Raw genomic sequence first — 15,269 nt, 5'->3', positions numbered from 1 at the left:
ATTAGTAATAGTTCTTTCTATATTCACCATATTACTTTTCTCCTAACATTTTTGTATGCTTTCTGATATTCTGTTGTTGACATATGCATACTTTTAATATCAATCTTGTAGTATCCTCCACAGCTATTATGCTAAAAAATCACGGTCAGATAATTACCTAGGTTTTCTTCTCATTATTTTATGACTTTATTTTTTTACCATGTAACTCTTTGCTCCATCTGGAAGTTATTTTTGTATATGGTGCGATTCGAGGAGATAACTTAATTCTTTTCCCAAACAGTTTATTAGTTGATCCAGCAAAAGTCTTTTTCTTTTCTCAATTTTTTTTAATATTGCCTGATACATATTTCCATTTTTATGTGCATTAAAGATATTCATGCAATACCATTTCATGTCCTACCTGTTTACTCCTGGACCACCCCCACACTATTTTCATAAGTGTCATTTATGATGCTGTTTAGTATCTTGTGAAATGAGACTGCTAAATTTACTATCTTCTCTAAACAATGCATTGTGACAATCTATTTTTCTTTTTTTTTCTTTTTATTTATTTATTTATTTATTTATTTTTTTATTATTATACTTTAAGTTTTAGGGTACATGTGCACATTGTGCAGGTTAGTTACATACGTATACATGTGCCATGCTGGTGTGCTGCACCCACTAACTCGTCATCTAGCATTAGGTATATCTCCCAATGCTATCCCTCCCCCCTCCCCCCACCCCACAACAGTCCCCAGAATGTGATGTTCCCCTTCCTGTGTCCATGTGATCTCATTGTTCAATTCCCACCTATGAGTGAGAATATGCGGTGTTTGGTTTTTTGTTCTTGTGATAGTTTACTGAGAATGATGATTTCCAATTTCATCCATGTCCCTACAAAGGACATGAACTCATCATTTTTTATGGCTGCATAGTATTCCATGGTGTATATGTGCCACATTTTCTTAATCCAGTCTATCATTGTTGGACATTTGGGTTGGTTCCAAGTCTTTGCTATTGTGAATAATGCCACAATAAACATACGTGTGCATGCGTCTTTATAGCAGCATGATTTATAGTCCTTTGGGTATATACCCAGTAATGGGATGGCTGGGTCAAATGGTATTTCTAGTTCTAGATCCCTGAGGAATCGCCACACTGACTTCCACAATGGTTGAACTAGTTTACAGTCCCACCAACAGTGTAAAAGTGTTCCTATTTCTCCACATCCTCTCCAGCACCTGTTGTTTCCTGACTTTTTAATGATTGCCATTCTAACTGGTGTGAGATGGTATCTCATTGTGGTTTTGATTTGCATTTCTCTGATGGCCAGTGATGGTGAGCATTTTTTCATGTGTTTTTTGGCTGCATAAATGTCTTCTTTTGAGAAGTGTCTGTTCATGTCCTTCGCCCACTTTTTGATGGGGTTGTTTGTTTTTTTCTTGTCAATTTGTTTGAGTTCATTGTAGATTCTGGATATTAGCCCTTTGTCAGATGAGTAGGTTGCGAAAATTTTCTCCCATTTTGTAGGTTGCCTGTTCACTCTGATGGTAGTTTCTTTTGCTGTGCAGAAGCTCTTTAGTTTAATTAGATCCCATTTGTCAATTTTGTCTTTTGTTGCCATTGCTTTTGGTGTTTTAGACATGAAGTCCTTGCCCATGCCTATGTCCTGAATGGTAATGCCTAGGTTTTCTTCTAGGGTTTTTATGGTTTTAGGTCTAACGTTTAAGTCTTTAATCCATCTTGAATTGATTTTTGTATAAGGTGTAAAGAAGGGATCCACTTTCAGCTTTCTACATATGGCTAGCCAGTTTTCCCAGCACCATTTATTAAATAGGGAATCCTTTCCCCATTGCTTGTTTTTCTCAGGTTTGTCAAAGATCAGATAGTTGTAGATATGCGGCGTTATTTCTGAGGGCTCTGTTCTGTTCCATTGATCTATATCTCTGTTTTGGTACCAGTACCATGCTGTTTTGGTTACTGTAGCCTTGTGGTATAGTTTGAAGTCAGGTAGTGTGATGCCTCCAGCTTTGTTCTTTTGGCTTAGGATTGACTTGGCGATGCGGGCTCTTTTTTGGTTTCATATGAACTTTAAAGTAGTTTTTTCCAATTCTGTGAAGAAAGGCATTGGTAGCTTGATGGGGATGGCATTGAATCTGTAAATTACCTTGGGCAGTATGGCCATTTTCACGATATTGATTCTTCCTACCCATGAGCATGGAATGTTCTTCCATTTGTTTGTATCCTCTTTTATTTCCTTGAGCAGTGGTTTGTAGTTCTCCTTGAAGAGGTCCTTCACATCCCTTGTAAGTTGGATTCCTAGGTATTTTATTCTCTTTGAAGCAATTGTGAATGGGAGTTCACTCATGATTTGGCTCTCTGTTTGTCTGTTGTTGGTGTATAGGAATGCTTGTGATTTTTGCACATTGATTTTGTATCCTGAGACTTTGCTGAAGTTGCTTATCAGCTTAAGGAGATTTTGGGCTGAGACAATGGGGTTTTCTAGATATACAATCATGTCGTCTGCAAAGAGGGACAATTTGACTTCCTCTTTTCCTAATTGAATACCCTTTATTTCCTTCTCCTGCCTAATTGCCCTGGCCAGAGCTTCCAACGCTATGTTGAATAGGAGTGGTGAGAGAGGGCATCCCTGTCTTGTGCCAGTTTTCAAAGGGAATGCTTCCAGTTTTTGCCCATTCAGTATGATATTGGCTGTGGGTTTGTCATAGATAGCTCTTATTATTTTGAAATATGTCCCATCAATACCTAATTTATTGAAAGTTTTTAGCATGAAGGGTTGTTGAATTTTGTCAAAGGCCTTTTCTGCATCTATTGAGATAGTCATGTGGTTTTTGTCTTTGGCTCTGTTTATATGCTGGATTACATTTATTGATTTGCGTATATTGAACCAGCCTTGCATCCCAGGGATGAAGCCCACTTGATCATGGTGGATAATCTTTTTGATGTGCTGCTGGATTCGGTTTGCCAGTATTTTATTGAGGATTTTTGCATCAATGTTCATCAAGGATATTGGTCTAAAAGTCTCTTTTTTGGTTGTGTCTCTGCCCAGCTTTGGTATCAGAATGATGCTGGCCTCATAAAATGAGTTAGGGAGGATTCCTTCTTTTTCTATTGATTGGAATAGTTTCAGAAGGAATGGTACCAGTTCCTCCTTGTACCTCTGGTAGAATTCGGCTGTGAATCCATCTGGTCCTGGACTCTTTTTGGTTGGTAAGCTATTGATTATTGCCACAATTTCAGCTCCTGTTATTGGTCTATTCAGAGATTCAACTTCTTCCTGGTTTAGTCTTGGGAGAGTGTATGTGTCCAGGAATTTATCCATTTCTTCTAGATTTTCTAGTTTATTTGCGTAGAGGTGTTTGTAGTATTCTCTGATGGTAGTTTGCATTTCTGTGGGATCAGTGGTGATATCCCCTTTATCATTTTTTATTGCGTCTATTTGACTCTTCTCTCTTTTTTTCTTTATTAGTCTTGCTAGCGGTCTATCTATTTTGTTGATCCTTTCAAAAAACCAGCTCCTGGATTCATTAATTTTTTGAAGGGTTTTTTGTGTCTCTATTTCCTTCAGTTCTGCTCTGATTTCAGTTATTTCTTGCTTTCTGCTAGCTTTTGAATGTGTTTGCTCTTGCTTTTCTAGTTCTTTTAATTGTGATGTTAGGGTGTCAATTTTGGATCTTTCCTGCTTTCTCTTGTGGGCATTTAGTGCTATAAATTTCCCTCTACACACTGCTTTGAATGCGTCCCAGAGATTCTGGTATGTTGTGTCTTTGTTCTCGTTGGTTTCAAAGAACATCTTTATTTCTGCCTTCATTTCGTTATGTACCCAGTAGTCATTCAGGAGCAGGTTGTTCAGTTTCCATGTAGTTGAGCGGTTTTGAGTGAGATTCTTAATCCTGAGTTCTAGTTTGATTGCACTGTGGTCTGAGAGATAGTTTGTTATAATTTCTGTTCTTTTACATTTGCTGAGGAGAGCTTTACTTCCAACTATGTGGTCAATTTTGGAATAGGTGTGGTGTGGTGCTGAAAAAAATGTATATTCTGTTGATTTGGGGTGGAGAGTTCTGTAGATGTCTATTAGGTCCGCTTGCTGCAGAGCTGAGTTCAATTCCTGGGTATCCTTGTTGACTTTCTGTCTCGTTGATCTGTCTAATGTTGACAGTGGGGTGTTAAAGTCTCCCATTATTAATGTGTGGGAGTCTAAGTCTCCTTGTAGGCCACTCAGGACTTGCTTTATGAATCTGGGTGCTCCTGTATTGGGTGCATATATGTTTAGGATAGTTAGCTCTTCTTGTTGAATTGATCCCTTTACCATCATGTAATGGCCTTCTTTGTCTCTTTTGATCTTTGTTGGTTTAAAGTCTGTTTTATCAGAGACTAGGATTGCAACCCCTGCCTTTTTTTGTTTTCCATTTTCTTGGTAGATCTTCCTCCATCCTTTTATTTTGAGCCTATGTGTGTCTCTGCACATGAGATGGGTTTCCTGAATACAGCACACTGATGGGTCTTGACTCTTTATCCAATTTGCCAGTCTGTGTCTTTTAATTGGAGCATTTAGTCCATTTACATTTAAAGTTAATAGTGTTATGTGTGAATTTGATCCTGTCATGATGATGTTAGCTGGTTATTTTGCTCGTTAGTTGATGCAGTTTCTTCCTAGTCTCGATGGTCGTTACATTTTGGCATGATTTTGCAGTGGCTGCTACCGGTTGTTCCTTTCCATGTTTAGCACTTCCTTCAGGAGCTCTTTTAGGGCAGGCCTGGTGGTGACAAAATCTCTCAGCATTTGCTTGTCTGTAAAGTATTTTATTTCTCCTTCACTTATGAAGCTTAGTTTGGCTGGATATGAAATTCTGGGTTGAAAATTCTTTCCTTTAAGAATGTTGAATATTGGCCCCCACTCTCTTCTGGCTTGTAGGGTTTCTGCCGAGAGATCTGCTGTTAGTCTGATGGACTTCCCTTTGAGGGTAACCTGACCTTTCTCTCTGGCTGCCCTTAACATTTTTTCCTTCATTTCAACTTTGGTGAATCTGACAATTATGTGTCTTGGAGTTGCTCTTCTCGAGGAGTATCTTTGTGGCGTTCTCTGTATTTCCTGAATCTGAACGTTGGCCTGCCTTGCTAGATTGGGGAAATTCTCCGGGATAATATCCTGCAGAGTGTTTTCCAACTTGGTTCCATTCTCCCCATCACTTTCAGATACACCAATCGGACGTAGATTTGGTCTTTTCACATAGTCCCATATTTCTTGAAGGCTTTGCTCATTTCTTTTTATTCTTTTTTCTCTAAACTTCCCTTCTCACTTCATTTCATTCATTTCATCTTCCATTGCTGATACCCTTTCTTCCAGTTGATCGCATCGGCTCCTGAGGCTTCTGCATTCTTCATGTAGTTCTCGAGCCTTGGTTTTCAGCTCCATCAGCTCCTTTAAGCACTTCTCTGTATTGGTTATTCTAGTTATACATTCTTCTAAATTTTTTTCAAAGTTTTCAACTCCTTTGCCTTTGGTTTGAATGTCCTCCTGTAGCTCAGAGTAATTTGATCGTCTGAAGCCTTCTTCTCTCAGCTCGTCAAAGTCATTCTCCGTCCAGCTTTGTTCCGTTGCTGGTGAGGAGCTGCGTTCCTTTGGAGGAGGAGAGGCGCTCTGCTTTTTAGAGTTTCCAGTTTTTCTGTTCTGTTTTTTCCCCATCTTTGTGGTTTTATCTACTTTTGGTCTTTGATGATGGCGATGTACAGATGGGTTTTTGTTGTGAATGTCCTTTCTGTTTGTTAGTTTTCCTTCTAACAGACAGGATCCTCAGCTGCAGGTCTGTTGGAGTACCCTGCAGTGTGAGGTGTCAGTGTGCCCCTGCTGGGGGGTGCCTCCCAGTTAGGCTGCTCGGGGGTCAGGGGTCAGGGACCCACTTGAGGAGGCAGTCTGCCAGTTCTCAGATCTCCAGCTGCGTACTGGGAGAACCACTGCTCTCTTCAAAGCTGTCAGACAGGGACATTTAAGTCTGCAGAGGTTACTGCTGTCTTTTTGTTTGTCTGTGCCCTGCCCCCAGAGGTGGAGCCTACAGAGGCAGGCAGGCCTCCTTGAGCTGTGGTGGGCTCCACCCAGTTCGAGCTTTCCGGCTGCTTTGTTTACCTAAGCAAGCCTGGGCAATGGTGGGCGCCCCTCCCCCAGCCTCGCTGCTGCCTTGCAGTTTGATCTCAGACTGCTGTGCTAGCAATCAGCGAGACTCCGTGGGGTAGGACCCTCCGAGCCAGGTGCGGGATATAATCTCGTGGTGCGCCGTTTTTTAAGCCCGTCGGAAAAGCGCAGTATTCGGGTGGGAGTGACCCGATTCTCCAGGTGCCGTCCGTCACCCCTTTCTTTGATTAGGAAAGGGAACTCCCTGCCCCCTTGCACGTCCCGAGTGAGGCAATGCCTCGCCCTGCTTCGGCTCGTGCACGGTGCGCGCACCCACTGACCTGCGCCCACTGTCTGGCTCTCCCTAGTGAGATGAACCTGGTACCTCAGATGGAAATGCAGAAATCACCCCTCTTCTGCCTCGCTCACGCTGGGAGCTGTGGACGGGAGCTGTTCCTATTCGGCCATCTTGGCTCCTCCCCCCGACAATCTATTTTTCCAGTTAAACTTAGGTATCATTTTACCAAACTTAAAACGGGTCATTGGGCTTTTCATCCGAATTGCATTAAACTTATAAATTAACTTTTCTGTAACTTGTCAAGAGGTTAATATCATAAATTAACCTTTCTGTATCCACTCAAGATTATGCTATGTCTCTCCAGTTATTCAAATTTTTTATCCCTCTGTAAAAGTCATTTTCATATCGTGCCTGCACACTTCTTGTTAAGTTTATATGTACTATATGCATTTTGTAGTTACCATAAACAAGATCTTTTTTCTTTATATTTTTATCTGTCATTGACATATAGGAATGTTACTGATTTTTGTATATTATTTTGCATTTGGCTAGTTTATTAAAATTTCATATTATCTATAATAGCTTTATAATGAATTCTCCTGGGTTTTCTAGGTATATTAATGTATCATCTACAAACCATAATTTTGCTTCCTCTTTTCTCATTTCTTTTTCTTGTGTCACATGGGTTAACTCTTCCAATAAGCCGTGAAATCCCAGAGGTGATGGTGGCACCTCTGTCTTGTTCCCAATCTTAATCAGGTGTTTCACCTTAAGTACAATGTAGAGTATTGTTCTAAAATTGAAGCTTTATCATAGTAAGGAAATATTCTTTTTCCTAGTTTTGAATGCTTATTTTAATCAGGGTTACATGCCTAATTTTATGAAATGCCTGTTTAGGATTTATTCAGAAGACCTTAACATTTTTTTTTCTCATTTAATGGGATACTTCGTGTTAAGAGATTTCTTAATATTAAAGTCCTTTAGAGATTAACTGTCCTTTGTCAGTTAATCCCTAAAATGGGCTTTAAAAAAATTAGTGTCGAGTCAATTTATCAGCATCATGGTGAAGAAAATGGATTCGAAGTGGAATACTTATGTTTGAATCCCACCTTTGTGTAACAGTGACTTGGGCCCCATTACTTAATTTCTTTCTGCCTTAGTTCTTCGTCTGTAAAATGGAGATGATAGTAATAGTATCTACCGTATAGGGCTGTTGTGAGGATTAGACAAATCAATATAGGTAAAGTTTTTAGGAGAGTGTCTAGCCAAACACTAAGTAAATACAAACAAAATATTAAATTATTGAGAATTTACCATGTACCTAATACTGAGCTTGGGACATGGATTCAAAGATGGGCAAACTCACATGTGGTGTCTGCTCTCATGAAGCATTCAGCCTGGTGAGAAGACAGATACTTGTGAAACAATCACTTGGAAGCATGGAGATTTACTTTTATAATAAGTACCACCAAGGAGAAGTTACGGTGTCATGACACTGTGTAGTAGTGGGCTTGACCTGACCAAGGAAGGACACTAGGCTGAGATCTGAAAGATGGGTATGCTAAGAGTGTTGTAGGCAGAGAGAACCGCGCAAAGGTCCTGTGGCTCTGCAGTGCAAGAGTGTGGCAGATACAAAGGACAGAAACAGGCAGGATTTGGCTGGAAAGCTGGTGGATATGAAGCTGGGAGGTCACTAAGGGCCAGGCCATGTGGAAAGCCTTGTATACTTTAATTTTCCTTATTGAAGAGCAAGGAGGAGCCATTGAATGTTTGGGGCATTTGGGAGGTTGGCATGACCTCACCACCTTCTGCGTGCAGTGTGAAGAACAGATTGGCAAGGACCAGAGCAAATGTGGCTGACCAGTTAGGAGTTAATACGGCAGTTTAGGAATGAGCTTGGTGTAGGGTGGGGACAGACGGAGATAGAGATAGAGTGGTAGATTAGCCATGGGGTTGTGAAGAAGAGGAAGCTTCTAGGTGAGCCTTACTTAGATAAAGAGATGGAGGCATGATTCCATTCACTGAGTTGGGGGGTAGGCAACAGAAGAGGAGAGAGTGGGTGGGGGGACATCGAGAGCATCCCAAAGGGGTGATGGGCCTGGCCCACAGAGGGATGGCTGGCCTGGATCATGACGTTGTGAGTAACCAATGCACAAGTGGGAAGTCCCCCAAATCGGAGAGAGGAGCAGAGGCCTTGGCACGGAGACTGAAAGGAGGCAGAGAAAGAGCAGGAGCAGGAAAGGAGTATGGTATTGTGGGAGGAAGCTCAGGGCATTGCTGCTCAAAGTGTGGTCCCACAGAGGGCATCATCACATCACCAGGGAGCATGGTGGGAAGGCAGTCCCTCCAGCTCCACCCCGGTGTCGATCTGAATCTCCATTTGAGACAGATTCCCCAGGTGATGCGTGTGCACAGTGAGGTCTGAGATGCTCTGGCCCGGAGGAGTGTTTCTGAAAGGAGGGTGAGCAAGAGCAGTCAGAGGCACTGAGCAGTAAATTAACAAGAAAACGGAAAAATAGCCACTGAGCCCATGGGTAGTAGATCTGTTTGGGTGGATCAATGGGACCAGAAGGCAGAATTGACAGGGTTGGAGAGTGAGTGGGAAGTAAGGAAATGGAGACAGAAAGTATAGACAGATTGTGTTTTCTATAAATTTAGCTGTGAAGGAGAGAGAGACAAGGCTGGAGGGAGACGAGGAGTGGGGTAGGGAATTTTTTTCTTAACGATAGAGTCTTGAGCACATTTAAAATGAGAAGATACTAGTGGAGAGGAAATGACTGAACACACGTTAGAAAGAAACAGGAACGTATACTGTTCTTGAAGAGTAGGGAAGAGTCGAGACTCTTGGCAAGAGTCCATTTAGATGGAGGAAGAGGTAGCTCCTCTGTAGCAGGAATGAAGACAGCATGGGATAGGCTAGAAGGGTTTGGAATTGGGAAGACAAGGGAATCCTTAGGAATGGCTTTTATTTTCTATGGAGAGTGAGGGAGAGGAATTAGCTGAGAGCCAGGAGGTTGCAGACAATGGAGAAGGTTTGAAATTGTGGTTCTGACATTCCATGTTGTAGAGGGGAAGTCTGAGTTCAGCCTGGTATTGGTGGCTGTGTAGTTCAGATTCTCAAAGCCTTAATTTTCTACTGCATAGAGTTGTTGTAAGCCTTGATTAAATGATACACAATGTATCACCTGGTCAGTACACAGCGCACAGCAAGCCGACAATCAACGTTAGTCACCCTTTGTACCTCCCTCGGTGCCAAGTACAGGGCTGGCTCATGGGAAGCACTTGGAAAAGTGGGTTCATGATTTGCTAACACATTGCTCCTGACTCTCTAGAAGCTTCTAGGAGTTATTCTGGCTATTCTGAACTGCTCCATTTCTCTTTCCCAGGCCAGAACTGCACGTTCCAACTGCACGGTCCCAATGGGACAGTTGAGAGCCCAGGGTTCCCATATGGCTACCCCAATTACGCCAACTGCACGTGGACCATCACCGCGGAAGAGCAGCACAGAATCCAGCTTGTGTTCCAGTCCTTTGCCCTGGAAGAGGACTTTGATGTCCTGTCGGTGTTTGATGGTCCACCCCAGCCAGAGAATCTGCGTACGAGGTACCATGCTGCCCACCTTCCCTGTAGCAAACAGCTGGGCTATGAGCCAAGCTCACTAGGAGGAAGATCTTTCTCGAGTGAAAAGTTTATGGTCATCAACAAAGACCACTGTTTTCATGATGTCCTCCCTCAACCCCTCTGGTTTTCCAATTCATGTCTCTTGCTTAGAGGTTTCCGGTTGGGAGGATTGATGAGTAGGACATTTGGGAAGACTAGAGAGAAAACACAAGAGGGTTCTAGACAAATTCAGCTCTTTCTTTTGAAACTGATTTTTCATGCACAGGGTGTATTATTTGTACACACAGAAATATAAGTTGGAACCAACAGATATGGGTGTTGAAGGCTGATAGTGATGCAGTGAATATGTCTTGCGTCACAGTATTTGAAACCATCAATACTTTTCTGGACTTTGCTTTGCATTTCCAAGGCCTTGGTTGTGGATGTAGACTCTGGAATTTGGGGGAGTTCTCACCCTCTTAACCCCCATCCCTGTGATGGAAGAGATCCCCATGGAGAGAGTAAGATGGCTTCCTGTACCCCTGAGCTGACTCCCAAGGGGAAGAGCTTACAGGAGGGAGATGGGAGGAAGGCTTCCAACCTCTGCAGAAAGGGCAGACTTTTCTGGGGCAAAGGTGAAGACCCCAGGGTCAAAACTCTCTAGGTGACCCGGAGGCCAGCCAGGGTCTGTCACAAGCCTTGTCCAGGTCAGGTCAGCGTGGCTTCCCGGCTCTACAGGAAGCCAAAGGGTTAATGGCTTACAAGCCAAGCCCTGGGGAGCCGGAGGTGCTAATTGCTTCTAATGACATGATGCACTAATGAGTGGTTCCCAGCCAAATGCTTAACCTCAAAGCTTTGTTTAAGATGCATCTCAGCCCTTGGCCTCCAAGCTCCTGCAGCAGGGTCACACACACATTTACTGCACAGTCTTCAGCCCTCTTCTCTTTCCCCTCTGGGCAGAAGTGAGTCTGGGAAGCCTGCAGCAGAGGCGGGGGGGCATCTGGGGCCCCCTGCACCCCTTCTGCAGCTTCTCCCAGAAAAGACTGGGCTAATCATCTTCCCTTGAGGTTCAGCAGGGTTCTGTGAAACATTGGTAAAGGGCTAGAGTCCTCTTCAATCATTCATTCCACAAATATTTCATGGGTACCTATTATGTCTTGACACTGGCCTAGATGCTGGGGAATAGCAGTGAGAAAAACAAAGCCACCGCCTTCATGGAGGTTACATGCTAATGGGGAGGCAGGCATGGAAATATCTAACATGTCTGGTCCTATGAAGACAAAGCACACAGGGTAAGAAAGTGATGGCAGGAGTGCTGGCTTTATTATTATTATTATTATTATTATTATTATTATTATTATTATTATACTTTAAGTTCTGGGATACTTGTGCAGAACATGCAGGTTTGTTACATAGGTATACATGTGCCGTGGTGGTTTTCTGCACTCATCAACCCATCATCTACATTACGTATTTCTCCTAATATCCCTCCCCTAGCCCCCAACCCCCTGACAGGCCCCGGTGTGTGATGTTCCCCTCCCTTTGTCCATGTGTTCTCATTGTTCAACTCCCACTTATGAGTGAGAACATGCAGTGTTTGGTTTTCTGTTCCTGTGTTAGTTTGCTGAGGATGATGGTTTCCAGCTTCATCCATGTCCCTGCAAAGGACATTAACTCATCCTTTTTTATGGCTGTGATTGCTGGTTTTTATAGGGTGGTCAGGGATGGTCTTTCCCAGGGGAAAGAGAGCTATGAGCAGAGAGCTGAATCATGGAATATCATGTATGGTGTGGTATCCCATGTAGGTATCTAGGGAAAGCTTCTAGGCTAAGGGCACAGGAAATGTAAAGGGTACAGGGCCACCGTTTGGAGGATGGTCTTGCTGTGGCAGAGCCCACTTTGGCCAAGCCAGTCATGTTGACTAGGAAGACCTGCAGTTTTGGAATCCTCATTCTAGATCATCCCAGGTGTTGTTTTTATGCTCTGCTAGTTTGAATTCCTCTCACAAGCAAAGGAGGGTATGCAGGAGGTCAGTGGTTAGAGGCTAGAGCAGAGCCAGTGGGTAGGAGTTCTGGAAGGGAAAAAGTGAGGCTGGGAGGTGGCAGAAGGTGGTAGATCCTGCAGGGCCTCATAGGCCATGCAGGGACTTTGGCCTTGATCCTGAGGCACAGGAAACCCTTGGAGGGTTCTGAGCAGAAAAGGGACCTGCTGTGACAGGCCTTTGCCATCGTGGGGAAAATGGAGTGAAAGGGGTGAGGCTGGAGGCTGCTGTTCAGGGCAGAGAAGAAGGAGGCTTGGGTCTCCTGGAAGTGGGGACATGATGAGAAGTGGCCAGCTCTGTGCTGTATTCCAAACACAGAGTGGACAGGATTTGTTGTTGCATTGGGTGTGGGCTATGGGAGAAAGGAGATGAGGATGATTCCAGTCTCCTTGGCCTTAATGATTATGGAAAGAAGTAGCTGTTTCCTGAGATGGGGACAGCAACAGGAGGAGCTGGAAGTTAAGATTCAGTTTGGCCCTATAAAATTTTAGATGTCTATTAGATATCCAGGTGGAGAAGGCACTTAACGTGCACTTGAATATGTGGTTTTTGAGTTCAAGGCCGTCAGGGCTAGAGATACAAAATTGGGAGACTAGGACTGGATGGTGCCTAAAACGTAAGACTGGATGTGGTCACAAGGGAGCCAGTCTTCTCCATCAGATTTTGAGCTCATGTGACACCATCTATGGGGCACCTGTGTAGACTTTTGATGAATGTTGAATGCATGTTTGAAAGATAGAAAGTCAGGTCAAACCAATGGGGCACTGATTGAGGTATGGACAGCTAGAGGCAAATTCTCCAATTCTGCCTGCTGGAGTTATTTAAGCTTGTCCTGCTCTTAAGGCAGAGTCCCCACATGTGTGGTCGAGTCTTTGTTTTCTGACACTTGGTTTTCTTTCTTTCTTTTTTTTTTTTTTTCCAGGAAACTTAAGATTTCATTTGCATAAGCCACAGTAATTAAGAAATTCAATTTGGTTTTGAAATGGAGATTGACATACAGAAACACAACCCCATACACACATTCTCACACAGTCTGTGGGAAGTGTTTCCAGAGCAGTCTTGTTTGTGGTATTTGTTGTGTGGTCCTAGTGGGGAAGAAGTAAAGAGTCTTTGTTCACCTCAGACAAATTTATAAACTAACTGACCAAGAGATGGACTTTGTTTACAAGTCTGTTTATAAATAAAATGACGTTCTAATTTTTATTAAATAATAGGCAGTTAAGCAGCAGTAAAAATAAGTATACCAGAATTAAACAAAGAAAGGGGTTCATATCTCACTTTCAAATGGTCAGCTCTTTTCCCCCTAAACCTCAAAAAATCTTCTGTCTCCTCTCACCATCTTGTTTTAGAATTGACTACCAACTATTGCAGGAAATTGAACTGTTTTTGACCTACATTTGTGATGAGTCTGCCATAATGTAATTCTGATTGTGCTGTCAAAGAAAACCACATATTCCCCCCACCAAAAGAAAATAATTATGTATAATGCAAACGTGATTATCATTGTTAGTGTGGAAGGGTACAATTTATTTATTTATTATTATTATTATTATTATTATTGTACTTTTAAGTTTTAGGGTACATGTGCACAACGTGCAGGTTTGTTACATATGTATGCATGTGCCATGTTGGTGTGCTGCACCCATTAACTCGTCATTTAGCATTAGGTATATCTCCCAATGCTATCCCTCCCCCCTAACCCCACCCCACAACAGTCCCTGGTGTGTGATGGTCCCCTTCCTGTGTCCAAGTGTTGTCATTGTTCAATTCCCACCTATGAGTGAGAACATGCGGTGTTTGGTTTTTTGTCCTTGTGATAGTTTGCTGAGAATGATGGTTTCCAGCTTCATCCATGTCCCTACAAAGGACATGAACTCATCATTTTTTATGGCTACATAGTATTCCATGGTGTATTTGTGCCACATTTTCTTAATCCAGTCTATCATTGTTGGACATTTGGGTTGGTTCCAAGTCTTTGCTATTATGAATAGTGCTGCAATAAACATATGTGTACATGTGTCTTTACAGCAGCATGATTTATAATCCTTTGGGCATATACCCAGTAACGGGATGGCTGGGTCAAATGGTATTTCTAGTTCTAGATCCCTGAGGAATCGCCACACTGACTTCCACAATGGTTGAACTAGTTTACAGTCCCACCAACAGTGTAAAAGTGTTCCTATTTCTCCACATCCTCTCCAGCACCTGTTGTTTCCTGACTTTTTAATGATCGCCATTCTAACTGGTGTGAGATGGTATCTCATTGTGGTTTTGATTTGCATTTCTCTGATGGCCAGTGATGGTGAGCATTTTTTCATGTGTCTTTTGGCTGCATAAATGTCTTCTTTTGAGAAGTGTCTGTTCATGTCCTTCGCCCACTTTTTGATGGGGTTGTTTGTTTTTTTCTTGTCAATTTGTTTGAGTTCATCGTAGATTCTGGATATTAGCCCTTTGTCAGATGAGTAGGTTGCAAAATTTTTCTCCCATTCTGTAGGTTGCTGTTCACTCTGATGGTGGTTTCTTTTGCTGTGCAGAAGCTCTTTAGTTTAATTAGATCCCATTTGTCAATTTTGGCTTTTGTTACCATTGCTTTTGGTGTTAGACACTTGGGTTTTCTGACTCTGAGAGGAAGTATGGAAGACTCAGCAGAGACTGGTCTGGCCTGTGTTCTAGCATGGAAGGGTGGGAGTTTCCATGACCTGGAGAAGTGGTTCTGGCAGGGAAGGCTTCCTCTTGTCCTTAGGATGCAGAAGAATCAGATGTGTCCCCAGCCACGGCACAGCATTCCTGGCCAACCAGCCATGAGGATGAGGCTCTGGGGTTGAACCTTCATTGGGTTTTCCCTGCTTGTGCTCCTGATCTCTGTCATCTTTATGATCTGCTTATTCTAATTCATTTCACACGGGCTTAGCAAAGGGGAAGGGCTAGAAGGAGACCACTGCCTTTTTTTTTTTGATTGATGATGACAACAATAGCCACAGCAACAGCTAATATTTATTGAGTCTTTAATGTGTATCAGGCATTGTTCTACATGCTTTACTAGTGAGGCTGGAGAGCAGTGGTGCAATCTCAGCTCACTGCAATCTCTGTCTCCTGGACTCAAGCACTTCCCCCACTTCAGCCCCAAAAGTAGCTGGGACTACAGGCATGAGCCCCCACGCCTGGCTAATTTTTGCACTCTTTCTGTAGAGACAGGGTTTCACCATGTTGCCCAGGCC

At 42.8% G+C, this 15,269-nt stretch overlaps 1 protein-coding gene across 12 annotated transcripts in view, besides 1 other annotated feature; it reads left to right on the top strand.

Annotated features, from left to right (window-relative positions):
• CSMD2 (CUB and Sushi multiple domains 2) overlaps window positions 1–15,269 on the top strand; it is a 651,845-nt gene that overhangs the window by 66,853 nt on the left and 569,723 nt on the right. For all 12 annotated transcript variants that reach the window (XM_047443685.1, XM_047443656.1, NM_052896.5 and 9 more), the window contains exon 2: window positions 9,797–10,013. In XM_047443685.1, the coding sequence (XP_047299641.1) occupies window positions 9,797–10,013 (217 nt within the window). The remainder of the gene's footprint in view (window positions 1–9,796; window positions 10,014–15,269) is intronic.
• Window positions 10,566–11,086: an enhancer, noted in NCBI's record as "NANOG hESC enhancer chr1:34553505-34554025 (GRCh37/hg19 assembly coordinates)". NCBI's record gives its function as "activates a minimal SCP1, AML or CMV promoter by ChIP-STARR-seq in naive H9 embryonic stem cells {active_cell/tissue: H9 hESC(naive)}" and the evidence as "EXISTENCE:reporter gene assay evidence [ECO:0000049][PMID:30033119]".

The sequence above is a fragment of the Homo sapiens genome, chromosome 1 (assembly GCF_000001405.40).
Source record: "Homo sapiens chromosome 1, GRCh38.p14 Primary Assembly".
NCBI classification, from domain to species: domain Eukaryota; kingdom Metazoa; phylum Chordata; class Mammalia; order Primates; family Hominidae; genus Homo; species Homo sapiens.
Note: the sequence above shows the minus strand (reverse complement) of the source record. Positions and strands in the feature narration are given on the sequence as shown.